At 43.8% G+C, this 19,815-nt stretch overlaps 1 protein-coding gene across 3 annotated transcripts in view; it reads right to left on the bottom strand.

Moving 5' to 3' along the window:
• RIMKLA (ribosomal modification protein rimK like family member A) overlaps positions 1 to 19,815 on the bottom strand; it is a 43,441-nt gene that overhangs the window by 17,670 nt on the left and 5,956 nt on the right. For 2 of the 3 annotated variants that reach the window (NM_173642.4, XM_006710585.4), the window contains exons 2-3: positions 6,929 to 7,159; positions 1,966 to 2,052 (exon numbers count right to left, since the gene is read on the bottom strand). In NM_173642.4, coding sequence (NP_775913.2) covers positions 1,966 to 2,052; positions 6,929 to 7,159 — 318 coding nt within the window. Of the gene's footprint in view, positions 1 to 1,965; positions 2,053 to 6,928; positions 7,160 to 10,062; positions 10,124 to 19,815 lie in introns of all 3 variants that reach the window. The other variant, XM_047418484.1, reaches the window with a different exon arrangement.

Here is a 19,815-nt window from a genome sequence, read left to right as displayed (position 1 = left end):
ACTAGTGTTACTTGCTACAACATAGATGAACCTTGAAAACATCATGCTAAGTGAAAGAAGCCAGACACAAAAGTCCACATACTGTATAAATCCATTCATATAAAATAGCCAAAACAGGCAAATCTATAGTAACAGAAAGTATTATTAATAATAGGTCAGTGGTTGCCAGGGACTGAGGGAGAGGCAATCGGGACTAACTACTACTAGGTATGAGGCTTCTTTTGGGGGTGATGGAAATGTTCTGAAATTAAGTAGTGGTAATAGTTGTAAAACACAGTGAGTACACTAAAATCCAGTGAATTTTACGCTTTGCACTGTTAAATTTTTTATGTGAATTGTATTTTCATTTTTTTGATTTCCAAAACATTATGTATATTTAATTTCTGTTTGCTGTCTTACCTTTCTACAACGTAAGCTACTCGAGGGCAGGAACTTTTGTTTTTATCTGTATCCCCAAAGCCTGGAATAGTGCCTGGCATTTTGTAGACACTCAATAAATATGTGAATTTTATGTGTATTTTACCACAATAAAAATGACTAGTTGAAAGGCTGGTTGAAATTGAGCTCAGTAGCACATCTGCATCGCACTAAGAGTCCCACTTTGCCACCCAGGCTCCTTTCTCTGCTCCTCAACACGACTCATCTATGCTCACTGGTTGCGTTGCCTACCCTTGCTTCTGTGTGTTGCTCACTCACTTCCGCCAATTCAAATTCTACACATCCACTGAAGTCTGCTTTTCTTCCAGTGAAGACTTCATGGCAGAATTGTCCCCTCCCTCCTGTAGGCTTAAACAGACCCCTGGGCATACTTGCTATATCAGTGATGATCACCCTGCAATGCAACTGTGTCTACACATTTGAGCGCCTCGAGATCAGTGACTGGGTCTAGTTTGTTTTTGTTTTTTTGTTTTTTGAGACATGGTCTCACTCTGTCGCCCAGGATAGAGTGCTGTCTAGTTCATTTCTATTGCATAGTCCCTACACCATAGTAGTTGCTCACTATGTATCTATTTAGGGTGACCTTCCCTCACTCCAGATGCCTGGAGTGTTTAAGCATGCCACCTGGGTATCCCGATGAGGCACCTGCTCATATACTGCAGGAAGACTCCTTTCTGTTGCTGATGTCCCTACTGAGTCCCAGCGATGCACTGAGCACTACAGTAAGCCTTACAGAGACAGATGCTCAGGATCTGGTCCCCACCAATGAGCAGCTCGCAGTCTAGTAAAGAAAGGAGGCATATAAACCTGTAACTGTTACAAAGTATAGCACTCTGCTAGAGGCACATACAAAATGCTATGGAAACAAAAAGGGAAGAGCAATTAATTTTGTCTGGAAGACAGGGAGGGAGATCAGGGAATGTGTGCAGAAAAGAAATGACATCTGGAGCTGGCCTTAAAGGATGAGCAGAAGAAGTTGACCAAGTGAGCAGAGAAAGATGGCATTCTCAGCAAAGGGAAAAGAGCAGACGCTTAAAGAGGGGAAAATGCACGGTCTACTTGGTGAATGAGAAGTAGTCTGGAATGGATTATGAAAGGTTCATGTGGCCAGAGACAGCTGCAAGGGAAGGCTGAGGCTGTTTGTACAGGGCCTTCAGTTTCATGATGAGGAATATGGACTCTGTCTAATAGGCGGCACAGGGTCTTGGGAGGGTTTTTCAGTGAGAGAGTAACAAGAACAGATCTATGTTTCAGAGAAATTACTTCAAAAAAAGAACAGAAGAGGCACTGGCAGTGGAGTTAGGGAAACTGATCAGCATTAAGTCAGGAGTTGATTGCAATAGTTCAGGGAAGAGGTGAGCATGATCTGACAAAAGCAAGAACAGAGGACAAAGAGAAAGAAACACTGCAAGCTCCTCAAAGGGGAGCTCCATTTTTCTAAGCAGCACTTGAGGAGTGTCTTGTCCAGGCAGAGCAGCAGCCCTAGTGGGCTGATTACCCAGGAAGCCCTGGAGAGGTGGCACTGACCCCGGTGGCCTCGTGTGCTCTTCACCACGACTGGGTAGCCCAGGGGCTCAGCTTCATCAATCATTTTTGAAAAGTCTTCATGCCCACCTGCCAAGAAAAGGTGAAAGTCAGTGAAGGTAAGGCTGATAGTCAGGTAGCGGTCACCCCAGCCCCGCCCCTCTGTAGGAATTCTTGTGAGGCCTCATCTCTCTCTGATTAAGGCCATTCAAACCCAGTTGATTCAACAGACACACATTATATACCTGCAAGGTAAAAGGTGGGAGCAGAGAGGTAAGGAAACCAACATTTAGCAGGTGCCTTCTGTGTGGTAAAGACTTCACAATCCTTATAACAATCATATAGGTAGATACCTTTCCCTTTACAATGGCTGTGGTAGGTGGAACCCCAAGATATATCTGCCCCCTGGTGTAAGCTCCTTGTATAATCCCCTCTTCTAAGTGTGGAAGGGACCAATGAATATGTTGGGATATCATTCCTGTGATTTTGACTTTTAGTTAACTGAAAGGGAGATGATCCTTGGTGAGCCTGACCTAATCAGATGAGTCTCTAAAAAAAAAATGGTGAAACATCAGAGAGACTCTTCTGCTGGCCTTGAAGGAGCAAACTGCCATGTTGTGGAGAAGGCCATGTGGCAGGGAGCGGAGGACAGCCTCTAGCAGAGAATGTCCCCAGTTGATGGCTAGCAAGGAAGTGGGGGACTCAGTCCCACAACTACAAGAAACTGAACGTCAACAATCAGGCAGCTTGGAAGAAGACCCCAAACTTCAGGTAAGACCACAACCCCAGCTGACACCATGATTTCAGCCTAAGGACACCTAACCAGAGAACCCAGCTATGCTGTGAGACTTCTGATCTACAGAAACTACGAGGTAATCAATGGGTATCATTTGAAGCTGCTCAGTTTTTAGAAGTTTGTTATGGAGCGATAGAAAACCAACACTCAAAGAAACCAAGCCTGGGGATTTGTCTCACCCAAAATTAAGGTATGACTCTGAAGCCTGAACTGGCTCCACCATACTCCTATAAGCCTTAATTTAAAAAAATATGAATAACGATGTGCATGAAAATCTTTCTAAATTGTTTTATGAACCTGGGTTCTTATATATACTATATCAAACATAATCTTTTCTTGATAGCTTAGAGTCCATGTCATGAACATTAATGACTGCACCGTAATGCCCCAAGGGACTACATCCGCCCTCTATTCAATGGCACCAAACTAGTGTACTTTCTAGTTTGGGAACCTGGTTTTTTAGTGGTTTGTCACATTCCTTGCTGTCAGATGTCAACTAATATTTCTCACTGCTGTCAGTATAGAGCAGAAATAAGCCTCTTTTCCTGATTCTCTTTGCTGTGGGCTTAGAGAGGACAATGCAACTTGTGAGATTTTTCTAGCACAGGGGAAACTAAGTTCCAGATAAGTCTGGAGGGCTTTCCCATTCATTAAGTAAGAGAGGGAGGTTCAATGCTTGTTGGAGTTTGTGACACATATTTGGGCTGCTTAGAGGTTCTTTTTGTTTACTTCCTAGTTCTCAAAAATGTGCTAAATACATGTGTTTTGTAGGTACAGTGGGGCACTAGTTTTCTCTTGTTGCGGTAACAAATTACAACTTGGTGGTTCAAACAACACAAATCTATTGTCATACAGTTCTGTAGTTAGAAGTCCAACACAGGTCTCACTGGGCTAAAAAAAAAATGTTAGCCAAGACCAGGTGTGGTGGCTCATGCCTGGAATCCCAGCACTTCGTGGGCGCCGAGGTGGGCGGACTGCCTGAGCTCAGGAGTTTGAGACCAGCCTGGGCAACGTAGTGAAACCCCATCTCTACAAAAAATACAAAAATTAGCTGGGTGTGGTGGTGCACATCTGTGGTCCCAGCTACTTGGGAGGCTAAGGTGAGAGGATCAGTTGAGCCCAGGAGGTCGAGGCTGCAGTGAGCCACAATCATGCCACTGCAGTACACCCTGGGCAACAGAGCAGAACCCTGTCTCAAAAAAAAAAAAAAAAAGTTAGCCAGGTGGATTCCTTTCTGGTGGCTGTAGAGGAAAATCTATTTCCTTGCATTTTTCAGGTTCTAGAGGCTACCCACATTCCTTGGCTCATGGCCCTCTTCCATGTCCAAAGCCAGCAACAGCAGGTAGAGTCCTCACATGGCAACACAATGATCTTCCTCCTCGGTCACCTCTCCCTCTGACTCTCTCTTCTGATTTCCTGTTCCACTTTTAAGGACATATACAACATTGGGCCCTCTTGGATAATTCAGAATAATTTCTGTATCTTAAGGTCATCTGCTTAGCAACCAACTCCATCTGCTGTCTTAATTCCCTTTTGCCACATAAACTAACATAATCACAGGTGCTAGGGATTAGGACTTGGGTATCTCAGGGTGGGGGAGTGGCATTATTCTGCCTACCACAGGCAAAGCAAAATACTCTAGAATACTAACAAGACCTGTCTAGTTCACAAGAGTGCTAATGATTTTTAAAAAAGAAAATGAGGCCGTGAACGTAATTAGGGGCATCTTCATGAAGAGGATGTTTTGTAAGAAGGGAACTCCCAGCTTCCCGCCATCCCGCTGATAAGCTTATGTTCTCTCTAGCCATCCTTCCTTCCTTTCTTTTCGATGCAGTAAGAGAGGTCTTCCTAATCCATCCCTGGCCCACTGTGCTTTAGACGCCCTTTCTCAACTCCCCAGGGATTTTGCACCCTCTCTACTATATCTTCAACCTCCCAATTCCTAATTTCATGGGCATTTTAAACATGCTCAATTATCTTCCATCTTAAGCAAATAAGAGTCCCTATTCTTTGACCCTGCATCATCCCTTAACTATAACTTTGTATCCCTACCATTAGCCACTGAAAGAGTTATAGAAAGCCACTGTTTCCATTTCCTAACTTCCCATTTATTTCCTTCTCCCTCTCTCCAGCACTAAACTGAAGCTGTATTCATTAAACTCCCTTTTGCTGAACCCAACACACACATCAATGTTGACAAGTCGCATTATGTTACCTGTCCTTTTGGAATCACACAATACTTTTGATTATACCACCCATCTTGGAATACTCTCTCCGTTGGCTTCTCTGATCTCTCTTTTTTCTCTTCTCACCTCTCAAGTTGCCCGCCCTCCCTCCCTCCTTCCTTTTTTTTTTAGACATGGAGTCTCATTCTGTCATCCGGGCTGGCAATGGCATGATCATAGTTCAAAGCAGCTTTGAACTCCTGGGCTCAAGTGATTAGTTTCTTTTATAGATTCCTCTTCCTGTACCCATTCCCTAAAGCAGGAGTCCCCAACCCTAATAACAGGCTGTGGCCTGTTAGGAACCGGGCGGCACATCAGGAGGTGAGCAGCAGGTGAGCAAGCATTACTGCCTGAGCTCCACTTCCTGTCAGATCAGTGGCGGCATTAGATTCTCATAGGATCTCTAACCCTATTATGAACTGCACATGCAGGGGGATCTAGGTTGTGCACCGCTTATGAGAATCTAACTAATGCCTGATGATCTGAGGTGGAACAGTTTCGTCCTGAAACCATCCTCCCCCACCCCACCCCCATCTGTGGAAAAATCGTCTTCCATGAAACGGTCCCTGGTGTCAAAAAGCTTGGGGACCACTGCCCGAAAGGATTCCCTCTTTTAAAAAAATGTTGGTGTTAAAATATACATAAAATATACCATTTTAACCATTTTAGGTGAACAGATCAGCCCTCTTTTCTTCCTACATACACTCTCCCTGAGTACTCTCATCCATTCCTCGGACTTCACCTCACATAATGAAGGTTTCCAGCTCCACTTCCCTAGTCTGCACTTCTTTCAGAAGCTCCAGATTCATTTATCTGCTGCCTACTAAATATTTTTACTTGCATGTACTACAGACACCTCAAACAGATCATGTCCCAAACTGAAATCACCTCTCCCCTATAATCCTTCACCCCCTACCCACAAATCAGCTTCTTTCCTCCCACATTTCTAGTCTTAGCAAATGTTTGCTTTCACATCTGGTTGCTCAAATCAGAAACCAGTCACTCTTGATTTCTCTCCAAACTCTTCATATAAATCAATCATCATGTCCTATTATTTCTACAAACTTCACAATTCCTGAATCTGTTCACACATCTTCATTCCCACTGTTAGTTTAGACCATCGTTGCTCACTTGGATTATTTTAAAAACCTACCACTACTTGTCCTGTCTCTACTTTGCCCCTGTCCAATTCCTTCTCCACAGTATAGCCAAAGTGATCATCTGAACTATAACTCTTATCAGGTCACCTCCCTGATTAAAGCCCTCCCATAACTTCCTGTTAGTCTCAGGATTAACCCTCATCTCCTTCACCTGCTGTATATAGTGCCCTCTTATTTTCCCAGCCTTATATTTAGCTATATCTCTCTTAACATTCTACAAACTACTCAGAATACCACCAACAGGTCAGGGTGTCTCTCCCCTCTGGGTCTTTCTATATTCTGCTCTCTTGTTACATTACCTCCCTTCCACCATCTCCCTTTGCTTAGCTAGATAACTTCAGCGTAACTCTATGTTAGCTCTTTTAGGAAGACTTCCTCAATGTCTAAACTGCACTGGGGAGCTCTCCTACATACTCCTGCACCGCTCTGCACTTATTCTTTTCATAGCATGTTTCACATTGCTCTGAAATTGCCTGTTCACTTGTCCTCTGCCTCTGATGAACTGGGAATGCCTTGAGGGCAGGAGCCTCTTGCTTAATGCTGTAACCCAGTGCCTAGCATGCTGCCTGGCACACAGTGTGTACCAGATATGTATTTAATGAATAACTTACAGAAGGGAAGACGCCAAGGCATTTTCAGATAGAAAGGCCAGGATAAAGATTTCAGATAGGCCAAGATGTTGAATCAACAGACTCACATTCAAAAGCAACAAAGATACTAGAAGGTTTCTAAGGAAAGAAAACAGAGATGCACATGATTTGGGAAGCTATTTCAAGCTGACTCACCATAGGAGAAGGTGTCTGGCATGGGGACCCCATGTCCAGCCAGTTCTTGGAACGTCCAGAATTTGTTGATGCAATTTAAGATGCTCTGTGGGCGATTGACCAACCGGCAGCCCAGCTTCTCCAGGTGTCGCAGGACAGTGATGTCACTGTCTGACTGCACTGAGGGTGTGGGTACCCGTACAAGCACCACATCCGGGAAAGTGGTGAGGGCCTTCTGGTTTAGCTGGAGGCCTGCAATTCAAGGACAACAGTGAGTGCTGTGCCTGCTATCGTTTAGTCCACCAGAAGAAATGGTTCCAACAGACTCTTCAAGACTGAACCTAGTAGGAACAGAGCCTCAAAATTGGCCCCCTGGACATCCTGGTGTACAAGGAAACTCTATAGGCAACCCTATACGCCAAACAAACAGGCAGAGCATGATCATGAGGAAACACAAAGGAATGACCAGAAAGAAAGCATATCAAGAATAATCTAGGTTAAAAGAATCCACAGGAGATATACAGTCACCTTCCTTCCCATAGGACAAGTATGACTCAAAGTGTAGTGGCTTAGGAGGTGGAAGGCTTAATGAAAAGGAAATAGTTTTGCCCACTTTAGGAATCCCTACCACTCTTTTATATCTGATTGGAACATTATATAGCCCTTTTTTTTTTTTTTTTTTTTTTTTAAAGACAGGGTCTTACTCTGTCACCCAGGTTAGAGTGCAGTGGCATCATCTTGGCTCACTGCGACCTCTGCCTCCCAGGCTCAAGTAATCCTCCCACTTCCGACTCCCCAGTAGCTGGAACTACAGGCGTGCACCACCATGCCCAGCTAATTTTTGTGTTTTTTGTAGAGATGGGGTTTCGCCATGTTGCCCAGGCTGATCTCACACTCCTGAGCTCAAGCAGTTCACTCGCCTCAGCCTTCCTGTGTTGGGATTACAGGCGTGAGCCATTGCGCTGAGCTATGCAACCATTTAAATGATTTTATCAACATAATGCACAAATGTCAATGTTAAGTGAAAAAACAGGATATAAAATTATAAATAATGCATTATGATCTCCACTATATAAACAGATACAAATTGGGAACAGCTAGAAGGAAATATACCAACATTTTAACAGTGGGTAATGGAATTACAGGTAATGTCTTCTTTATATTTTATACTTGTCTGTATTTTCCAAAATTTCTCCAAGTACTTATTACCTTTACAACAAAAAACTTTCTGAAAAATCAGTCTACTAAAAATCAGTTCAATTCAATATCAAAGAAAACTAGAATGCATCCAAAGACAACCAATCCACTTTGCAAGATGACGTGATGCTGTATTCCACTGGGTTAAGTAGGAATATTAGCTTGAAGTGAAGACTCAGAGGAACAGGAGCACAGTCTTCAAGTTTCTGAAGGGCTTCAGTGCAGAAGAATTATTTGGCTTGTCTTCTAAAACTCCAGGAGACAGAGATATCCATAAGAGCATTATTTTGTCTGTCTGTTCACTGATGTATCCTCAGCACCTAGAATAGTGCCTGCTGCACGGTAGGCACTCAGTGTTTGTTGAATTGAATAGATGCTATAGGGAGATGGATTTGGGCTCAACAAAATGGATACTTTTCCACTCCCTTAGGATGTAAGGGCCAAGGCTCATTACTCAAGGATGGTATAAGAGAGCATGCAAGGGTAAGAGGGGTTCACAGCAACTTGCTTGGTCCCTCCCAGTCCTGACATCCTATGGCTGGTATTACTCTATGTCATTACCTAGGTCTCCATGGTGCACCCAGAATCTGGTGATGGAATGATGCAGACAGGATATGGCATGAGTAGGGCAATGAGAAGCTAGTTCAAGGAATTATACTTGGTCTGCTCTAATTAACCTTGAAGGAATCTCTAAAATGCTCTAAAGAATATATTGTATTATTTTATTTTTTTTTTAGACACAGGATCTTGCTATCGCTCAGGATGGAGTACAGTGGTGTGATCACAGATCACCACAACCTCTAACTCCTAGGCTCAAGCGATCCTCCCACCTCAGCTTTCCAAGTAGTTGGGACTACAAGTGTGCATCACCATGCCTGGCCAATTTTAAAAAAAATTTTGGGGAGATGTAGTCTTGCTATGTTGCCTAGGCTGGTCTCAAACTCCCAGTCTCAAGTGATCCTCCTGCCTTGGCCTCCCAAAGTGCTGCGATTACAGGCATAAGCCACTGTGCCCAGGCAAAAAAACCTTTAAAACACAGTCTACAGAGATATTTTATAGGCTTTAACCCAAAGCACCTTCTATTTTGTAAGTGATATTATACTGCATAACCACATAATTCTAGGGGGAAAAGGGTGCTAATGAAGTTACAATTTCTCCACCAGGTGATGAATAATATCAATATAAAAGCTCTAGGCACAAAGATGAAAAACAAAACACCCACAAAACTACTACATGGCCCTGAATTGCACACTTTCCCCCATTCTAGGAGATATTTCACTGATTAAAAAGGGGAGGGGTAGGAACAATCATTACAATAAACTGTTTTTTGTACTTCCGCTGATCATGTGAGTCCAAGGAACTGGAACCTAATTCTCAGGGTTATAAACAGCATCCAAGTTATCTTCACTTTGCCATCAGAAAACAGTATCACTTACAGATGCTTTTACTGTTCTTTGAAAAATTCCTTTGACACTTACAGCCCTTGGGGGAAATAATGCGAAAGGTAAAAGTAACCCATGTGTAGTAGCCTCAAAAGTGGTTGGAGAAAAAAGAAAAATATTCAAGTTGCTTAAGATAGTAAATACAGAACACCCAGGACAACATTACACAGTGAGATAATATATGTGAAAATGCTTTGAAAACTATAAAATGCTATACATATGTAAGGCACTGGCATTATTACTACACAGAAGACATTCTACTAAGCAAAGTAGGACAACTTATGGAGATTTTTACCACCTCACAAGAAAAACAGCTTTACAACAGAAACATGACCTAGAGAAACGAGAAGCAGCAAAAACGTCTGGCTTTCAAATCCCAACATGAGACCACAGACAAACAGTTAAACTTCTAAATGGGAAGAAAAGAATTCAATCATTTCTGGAAATACCAACCACAAGTGGACAGAGACAACTCAGCCTCAACGAGCAGATTCACATAGACCTAGGAAGTCTTACCAGGACTTCATCTCTCTTCTCCAAAGGTAAATCTTTGGGCCTGGCTCATTCCAACTGAAGCCTTTAATAAATGAAGAATGGAATGGGTTAAAGTATAGCCCAAAAGGCTCTACTAAGCAGTTAGACAGGTCTTGTGCATGCTGGCTATCCAGGCCTGTGCAGAGAGGGACATGACAGGTTTAGGGATGCAGTTGCAAAACTAATCACAATCTTTGCCCATTGACACAGCTCTGACATTCTTTTTTTTTTTTTTTTTTTTTTTTTGAGATGGAGTTTCACTCTTGTTGCCCAGGCTGGAGTGCAATGGCGTGTTCTCAGCTCACTGTAACCTCCACCTCTCAGGTTCAAGTGATTCTCCTGCCTCAGCCTCCCAAGTAGCTGGGATTACAGGTGCCTGCCACCATGCCCGGCTAATTTTTTTTGCATTTTTAGTAGAGAGGGTTTCATCATGTTGGCCAGGCTGGTCTCTTGACCTCAGGTGATCCGCCCGCCTCAGCCTCCCAAAGTGCTGGGATTACAGGCGTGAGCCACCGCCCCCAGCGCTAGCTCTGACATTCTTGCCATGGGCAACTTCACATGCCTCCTGCTCTTTCCCATTGCCACTGCCATCATATTTCTAATAGTAGTAGACAAGAAGCAGCTGCTCATGTGGCTTCAGTGGGAGCAACAGTTATACACAGCCATGGCCAAGGACAATTTGGGTTTAAGGCTGGCCCTCGGCAAAAGGTCTGTAAATTTTGAGACCTTTAACCACTTAAGTAATCTCCTCTCAGGAAAGGACCTAATAAACTTAATACAGGATGGAGCTTAATGTATCACCTCTCCCAGGATCGTTAACATTTCCACTGCAATCTACGGACCTCAAGTCAAGGGAACGAAGAGCTGATGCAGGATATCAGGAAGGACAGGGCTCTGCTTGGTTGCTAGTCAACAGAAGGAAAGCCCTCAACAATCAGAGGCTCATGCCCTCCAAGAAGAGATTTCATGTGATTAAGTACCCTAGTGCTCTTGGGTATCACCCTAACTTGGGGAGAGGGAGAGGCAGCTGAATTGTTTCTGGAATATTTTGGGGTCTCCCAGACTCATGGGGTGGGCTTGAGATTATGTTTAGCCTCAAACCACTTAAAAAAAAAAAAAAAACTAAAACAACCACTCTGTCCCCAAATAGGTCAATGAAATATTAGTGGAAAAAAGATCAAACCTCAAACAAGTTAGGACAGTGACCAACTGCCAACCCAGTTAAAACCAATTTTTTGAAACCAAAACAATATTTTCTCTATGTTCTAAAAAAGAATAATCTACTTTTATGGGTAATTGTGTTCTGATTTCCTTTTGAATTCTCTATTTATATTTGAAAATATTTTGATGTATTAAAAACAAGATAGAAAACCAGGATAACTTTTCCCAAAGAACAGAGTCTGTTTTTTCTAACCCATATACTGGGTTAAATTCTACATAACTAGGCGGGGCACAGTGGCTCTCGCCTGTAATCCCAGCACCTTGGGAGGCCAAGGCGGGTGGATCACCTGAGGTCAGGAGTTTAAGACCAGTCTGGCCAACATGATGAAACCCCGTCTCTACTAAAAATACAAAAATTAGCTGGGCGTGGTGGTGTGCACGCCTGTAATCCCAGCTACTTGGGAGGCTGAGGCAGAAGAATCACTTGAACCCAGGAGGCAGAGGCTGCAGTGAGCTGAGATCGCGTCATTGCACTCCAGCCTGGGCAACAAGAGCGAAACTCCGTCTCAAAAAAAAAAAAAATCTTCATAACTGGACTTACGCATTTGTATGTGCAATAGCGAAGAAATACACTTTATGATAAAGAGAAATAGCTTCAGAAATAAATCTTTATTGGAAAGCAGAGTTCTAAAACTTAACCATTCTCAATCATCATAACAACAGAGGGAAGCAGAGGCATGGATAATAAAAGGTCTTGTAGTTCAGATTTGAATTCGGACAAGATTTTTATTGAGCCTCTATTGCGTTTTAGGTTATTTGCTAAGAACTTTCACACATTATCTCGTTTAAAGTAAAGGTGTCTTATAATACAGATCCTTGGAATTGATTTGACTATAAATGTCTTTGCATTTACACAAAGCCGATACATAATGAGTCATCACCCTCCAACCTGTGCATGCATGTCACTCACATATGTGTGCACACATGTGCATCCTTGGATTCACTAAAGAAAGCTTCAACACCAAACGGATGTCTGGTATGCCAGAAAAAACCTTCATGTACAAAACAAGCAGAAAAATTAAGAAAACAGCAGGATACTAAAGCATGACAGCAAACAAGGACCTCACTTATGGTAGCTTTTAGAACCATTATATTTGAGCAGGATCATGTAACAGTGGCTGGCAGTGAAACTCTGAAAGTTACCAGAAAGGAATCAACTATATAAATAACGTGAATAGGCCAGGCATACTGGCTCACGCCTGTAATCCCAGCACTTCGGAAGGCCGAGGCAGGCAGATCACCTGAGGTCAGGAGATCGAGACCAGGCTGGCCAACATGATGAAACCCTGTCTCTGCCTAAAATACAAAAATTAGTTGGGCGTGGTGGCAGGCGCCTGTAATCCCAGCTACTCAGGAGGCTGAGGCAGGAGAATTGCTTGAACCCGGGAGGCAGAGGTTGCAGTGAGCCGAGATCCCGCCATTGCACTCCAGCCCTGGGGGACAAGAGTGAGACTTTGTCTCAAAAATAAATAAAAAAATAAAAGTGGATAATCCACTTAGCACTTCAGATTATCTTGTGTTGTGAGGAAGATGTGTCATCCAAACATGACTTGGCACACCTCCATCAGTTTCCACCTTTCCCCTTATTTCTTCCTACTCCACCCACAGCATTTTCTCGTAAAACAGTTATTTTTATTTTTAACAAGTAGATGCCACACCCCTCTCCTTCCCTTTTAAAGTTCTTTGTGACAATGCCCAAAGAAAGCTCACCTCCACCTCACTAAAACCCACAGACATTTATGTGGCCATTTTCTCTTTCCACCAACTGTGATTTTGAGGTGATTTAATTCAATTCAACACTTATTGAACTGGTTGGTATGACTCAGACACACTACTAAGCAGGAATACAAAGTTGAACTAGATGGTCTCTGCCTACCAGGAGATTATAGTCTCCTCACAGAGAAAGATACACAACTTAAATATGCATTTTTTTCACTCCTGAAACACATTGATTGTTTCACATATTCATTCAGGGAATATTTATTTAGCACCTACTTTGGGCCAAGCCTAGTGTTAGTTTGGTTTCTGTAGAAGCTCACTCAGACAGGATTTAAGTGCAAGTAGTCTCTCTGGATAGTAATTTCAGGAAATGTTGGGAGGGGCATAGAGAAGGGAATGAGGCAAACAAAACATACTTTATCAAGGGAGTTACCACCTCTCAGCAACCAGAGCTGAATCCTGCTGAGGAACTCTAGGAAATGGCTTAGTACATGCACTTCAGTTATTCCACCTGAGAGGCCAGGGAGTTGACAATTTCAAGTTTTTGTTTTGAGACAGGGTCTTGCTCTGTCATCCAGGCTGGAGTGCAATGGCGCGATCTCGGCTCACTGCAACCCCTGCCTCCCGGGCTCAAGTGATTCTCCTGCCTCAGCTTCCTGAGTAGCTGGGACTACAGGCACGAGCCACCATGCCTGGCTAATTTTTGTATTTTTTGTAGAGACGGGTTTTCACCATATTGCCCAGGCTGGTGTCGAACTTCTGAGCTCAGGTGATCTGTCTGCCTCAGCCTCCCAAAGTGCTGGGATTTCATAAACTCATAATGTCTACCTCTCAGGGTATGAGCCACTATGCCCAGCCAATTTCAAGTGTTTATACATCAACTCAGTTTTTGGTTAAGGCTGCTCCAGGGGCATGGTGTTAATTTCCTGACCCTTCTGGCTTGCCATACATGTGTGGGCAACGTGGGATCCTGTACCAGACAAAGCCCTCTAACAGGTGCAGGTGCTGGTAGTCAGAAGCCGGGCCCTGGTGCAATCAAATGGTAAAAGCCAAAGGGACTGACAGGGAAGGAACAAGCACTGTCTTCTTAAGGGCTGGGCATGGGAGTTGACAGGTGTGAGTAAAACAAACAATATCCCTGGAATTTAAGAAGACAGACAACACACAGTTGTTATTAATGCTGTTAATGTTCTGTGTAGAGCACCTGGGTCTTGTTGAGCAGGGGGAGGGAGAGGAGACTGACTGTAACACAATGTGCTAAGTGCTCCAACAGACCTACATCAGGGTCCAGGGAGAGCAAAGGAGGAGGGAGCAGTTAGGATGATTATCTCTGCCTGGGGAGAGAGAAAAATCAAGGAAAGTTTCAGAAAGGAAATGTTGACACCTCATGCCTCTAAACTCTGAAGAAATGTGGAAAACTAATAAATTCATAATCTCTACCTCTCAAACAAATCAATAGTAAGACATTGCATCTTATAGGCACTGAGTTCAAGAATGTCTCAAGGCTAAAGTAACTCCTTGGAAAGGCCCTTCAAGAAGTTGAAACAACATGAGATGAAAGGGAATTTGGCAAAGTGGATACAGTATTGGCCTTCAAGTCAGAGACCTGATTTATTTAGCTGCTCTCATTTAGCTTGGCAAGACACAAAAATCGCTTTGGGTCTGTCTCCTCTTCTATAAAATGGAAGGGCCCCAGAACCTGGCAAACCTTCCTCCCTCATCTCCCTCGCCATCTCACAACATGATCTTTCTTCAGCTATGAAGACAAAGCTCAGCAAGTCCTTCTCCTCTGTTCATATCAGTCACCCAAGTCTCAGTCTCTGAGGCCACATCATTTCCCTGGACTGTATACCCCATATAGCTCTGACACTGCCTTTTCTCATTCCACCCTCCACCTCTTCCCATCTCCACTCTGCCCTCTGAAACTCAATGGACAGAAAATTCCCTTATCCTCAACCTTTTCCGTGTGCCTTCCCTTCACTTTCCTTCTTTTTCTGAGTCAAGCTGCATCCTGTCTCTCGCCAATGACACCGCTTCCCCAACAGCCCTCTAAGTTGTGGCTGTTTTCTCCCCTCTCGCCACAGATTACTGGGCCTAGATATCCTCCTCGCTCCTGATTGCAATTAGAAGACCATTCTGCCTTCTCTCCTCCCTAAAATATCCAGCCTGAATCTCATCAGGCCACACAACACATCACCCCTTCTTGTGCAAGTCGTCTACAGAGCCCAGGTCACTCCCTCTGTTCTTGAAGCTTTAGCTCCTTACTCTTACACTATCAGAAATATTGGTGATTTCCATGTCCCTATGAAGAATCCTTTCAATGCCAAGGACTCTCAATGTCTTGACCTCCTTTTCTCCAAGGATCTTCTCCACCATCCCACCTCAGCTACCACTCCTGGTTACATTCTAGACTTTGTGCAAGCATCCTTATTCTAATCTCCAACCACTCCTCCTATCTTTCCAGCTTGCTTCTTCTAGTACTATTCCTTGACCCAGCTATGCATTGACCCCACAAGAAGCTACCATCCACGGGTACCACCATCTTTTCACTGTCCCTCCGTTCATATCCTCAACTTCCCTTCTTATCCTATTCAAACTCCATAGTCAAGCACCATGATCACTTCCTGCATATACCCTCAAATCCTTGCACCCACTTATTGTTTATGTAAACCACAACTCTGGCCAGACCAATTCAACCCTTTATGTCCCTCCTTTGTAATGAAACGTACCTAGGGAAAATACACAAACCTGCTGACTTGTCTCATGGGCACCCTTAATGTCTGGCAATCATTATATGTCCCTAGTCCCTTCAATCAACCACAACACTATTTCACACTTTCTCTTCTTATCTTACACTTTTATTACTTTGTCCCATCTTCTCATTCTTCCTATTTCAATGTGAAAAACTGAAGCAATCAGAAAAGACCTTCTCTGTAAGTTCCCACTATCACATCTACCCACCCACCTGCACCTGTGACATATAGATTACCTTCTCTGCTCTTGTAACAGCTGAATTGTCCTTACTCCTAGCTTAGACCAACCCCTCCAAATACGCAGTAGATCCCAGCCCTTCTCAGCCACTTAAAGCACTGCTCCTGCCATTTGCCTGTCTCTCCTACATCACCAATTTCTCCCGCTGTATTAGATCATTCACAACAGCATACAAATGTACCATTATTTACCCCTTCTTTATGAAAAGCCTCTCAGCTGGGCACGGTGGCTCACGCCTGTAATCCCAGCACTTTGGGAGGCTGAGGCCGGCAAATCACTTGAGTTCTGAAGTTCGAGACCAGCCTGGCTAGCATGGTAAAACCCCATCTCTACTAGAAATACAGAAAATAGCTGAGTGTGGTGGCATGTGCCTGTAGTCCCAGCTACTCAGGAGGCTGAGGCAGGGGAATCGCTTGAACCCAGGAGGCAGAGGTTGCGGCGAGCTGAGATCGCACCACTGCATTCCAGCCTGGATGACTGGCGATACTCCGTCTCAAAAAAAAAAAAAAAAAAAAGGAAAAGAAAATCCTCTGAATCCTGTCTCAATCCTGATAGCCTTTGGGCTATCATCCTGTTTTTCACCTTCCCTTTACAACAAAACTCTTAGACTGTTTATATTCACTCTTTTCTACCACTTACCTGAAACTGCTCTTATTGGGGTTGCTAATGCTACACGCACATTGCTAAATCAATTATAATTCCTCATCCGACTTCATCTACCAGAACATTTTTTTTTTTGAGATGGCGTCTCGCTCTGTCACCCAGACTTGAGTGCAGTGGCACGATCTCTGCTCACTGTAACCTTTGCCTCCCAGGTTCTAGCGATTCTCCCACCTCAGCCTCCAGAGTAGCTGGGATTATGGGCGCGCACCACCACGCCCGGCTAAATTTTTTTATTTTTTAGTAGAGACGGGATTTCACCATGTTGGCCAGGCCGGTCTCGAACTCCTGACCTCAAGTGATTCGCCCACCTCGGCCTCCCAAAGTGCTGGAATTACAGGCAAGAGTCACTGTGTCTGGCCTAGCAGCAACATTTGACATGATCTGATCACATCTTCCTTCTTAAACAACTTTCTCTCTCCACTTGGCTTACAGGACACCCACTCTCCTGGGTTTCATTTTTCTTTTACTCAGGATTCTTTGCTAGTTTCTCCTACTCACTCTGCCCACTAAGCACTGGAGCTCAATCTCTGAACCCTTCTCTATCTATAGTCACTCCCTTGATAGGTGTGTAAAGGTGCTCCTACTTTGGTATCTCCAAGCCAAGCCTTTTTCCTGAATCCCAATCTTTCCATAAATGGCTACCTGACATATCCCCTTGGATGTTTAATGTGCAACTCATACTGAGTTCTGATATTCCTCACCTGCCCAAACTTATACCTGTCTTCCTTTCCATATCAGCAAATAACATATTTTATTCTTCCAGCTGCTCAGGCCAAAAACTTTGGAGTCCTCCTTGACTAGTCTTTCCTGAACACCCAATATCTGATCCAGTAGTCAAATCCTGACCACTTTGTCTTCAAAATATGCCCAAACCCAGTCACTTTTCACCTTCTCCCTTGAAATCATTCTAGCCCAACAATCTCGTCTCACCTGAATTGTAGCAATAACCTCCTAAGCAACCTCCCTACTTCTGCTCTTGGTGCCTCTAGTCTATTCTCAACATGGTAGCCAGAATGACTCCGTGACCCATTAGGCAGATCATATCATTTCTCTGGTCAAAAGCTTTCAGTGGAGGCCAGGCACAGTAGCTCACGCCTGTAATCCCAGCACTTTGGGAGGCCAAGGTGGGCGGATCACGAGGTCAGGAGTTCAAGACTAGCCTGGCCAAGATGGTGAAACCCCATCTCTACTAAAAATACAAAAATCAGCCAGTACGGTGGCATGTGCCTGTAATCCCAGCTACTTGGGAGGCTGCGGCAGAGAACTGCTTGAACCTGGGAGGCAGAAGTTGCAGTGAGCTGAGATCGTGCCACTGCACTCCAACCTGGGCGACAGAGCAAGATTCCATCTCAAAAAAAAAAAAAAAAAAAACAAGCTTTCAGTGGGCCAAGCACAGTGGCTCATGCCTGTAATCCTAGCACTTTGGGAGGCCGAGATAGGTGAATTACTTGAGGCCAGCAGTTCAAGACCAGCCTGAACAACGTGGCAAAACCCTGTCTTTACCAAAAATACAAAAATTAGCTGGGTGTGGTGGTGTGTGCTTGTAATCCAAGCTACTAGAGAGGCTGAGGCAGGAGAATCACTGGAACTCAGGAGGCAGAGGTTGTAGTGAGCCGAGATCGTACCACCGTACTCCAGCCTGGACAACAGGCAAGACTCCATCTCAAACAAACAAAAAATATCCTTCAGTGGATTCCCAGCTCATCCAGAGTAAAAGCAAAAGTCCCTCAGTGACCCACCAGGCCCTATGTATCTGCTTCTTCCCCCACTCCCCTCTCTGACCTCCTCTCCTAATACTCATCCCTTGGCTCACTCTGCTGTGCCATGCTGGCCCCCTTGCTATTCCCTGTTGCCTAAACTACTCTACCTCCAGATATCTAAACAGCTTGCATCCTTACCTCCTTCAGATCTTTACACGGATTATCATCTTCTGGGTGAGGACCACTCCGGCCACCCCATCTAAAATTGCAATCCCCTCTCTTACCTCCAGAAACATTCTGTTTTCTTCTTTTTTTCTTGCTTAGCTCTTTTCGCCAATATACTATACTTTTTATTTACCTTGTTTACATCCTATTTTCCCCATCTAGAATGTAATCTACTTGAGAGGCACAGATTTCTGCCTACTTTATTCTGGTGCCTAGAAACAGTACTTTATACACACTAGGCCATCAATAGATATCTGTTGACAGGATTTAAAAAAATGAATAAAATCATAATAATGAGCGTGAAGCCTGCCTCTGTTCCCACTCTCCATTTTATCTCTACTGCCTAGTACAATGCCTGGCACAGAGTGGGCATTCAATAAATATTTATTAAATGAAATAAATGAATGTATAGGATTGTTGCAAAGATTAAGACACATAAAGTATACTAAAGTATTAACAACAGAGTTATAGGAATGCAGAATCAGTATTCCTGTTAGTTCCTCAACACAAAGTAATCTAAATTTATCACTTTCTCATAGTGGAATCTGGAGTTACATTTTTTTTTTTGAAACAGGGTCTCGCTCTATTGCCCAGGCTGGAGAGCAGTGGCACTATCACAGGATCCTCCTGCCTCAGCCTCCCAAGTAGCTGAGACTACAGGTGCATTCCACCATGACTGGCTATTTTTTATTTTTTATTTTTTGGAATAAATAAAAATAAATAAATAAACAGTCTCACTGTATCACCCAGGCTGGAGGGCAGTGGCTCAATCTCGGCTCACTGCAACCTCCGCCTCCCAGGTTCAAGTGATTCTCCTGCCTCAGCCTCCTGAGTAGCTGAGATTACAGGTGCATTCCACCATGCCTGGCTAATATTTATTTATTTATTTATTTATTTGAGATGGAGTCTCACTGTGTTGCCCAGGGTAGAGGGCAATGGCGTAATCTCAGCTCACTGCAACCTCCACTTCCCAGGTTCAAGTGATTCTCCTGCCTCAGCTTCCTGAGTAGCTGAGATTACAGGTGCATTTCACCATGCCTGGCTAATATTTATTTATTTATTTATTTATTTATTTATTTATTTGAGATGGAGTCTGTGTCGCCCAGGGTAGAGGGCAGTGGCGTAATCTCAGCTCACTGCAACCTCCACTTCCCAGGTTCAAGTGATTCTCCCACCTCAGCCTCCCGAGTAGCTGGATTTACAGGTGCATGCCACC

This window comes from Homo sapiens, chromosome 1 (genome assembly GCF_000001405.40).
Source record: "Homo sapiens chromosome 1, GRCh38.p14 Primary Assembly".
Classification (NCBI taxonomy): Eukaryota; Metazoa; Chordata; class Mammalia; order Primates; family Hominidae; genus Homo; species Homo sapiens.
The sequence above is the reverse complement of the archived record's forward strand: the minus strand, read 5'-3'. Positions and strand labels throughout refer to the sequence as shown.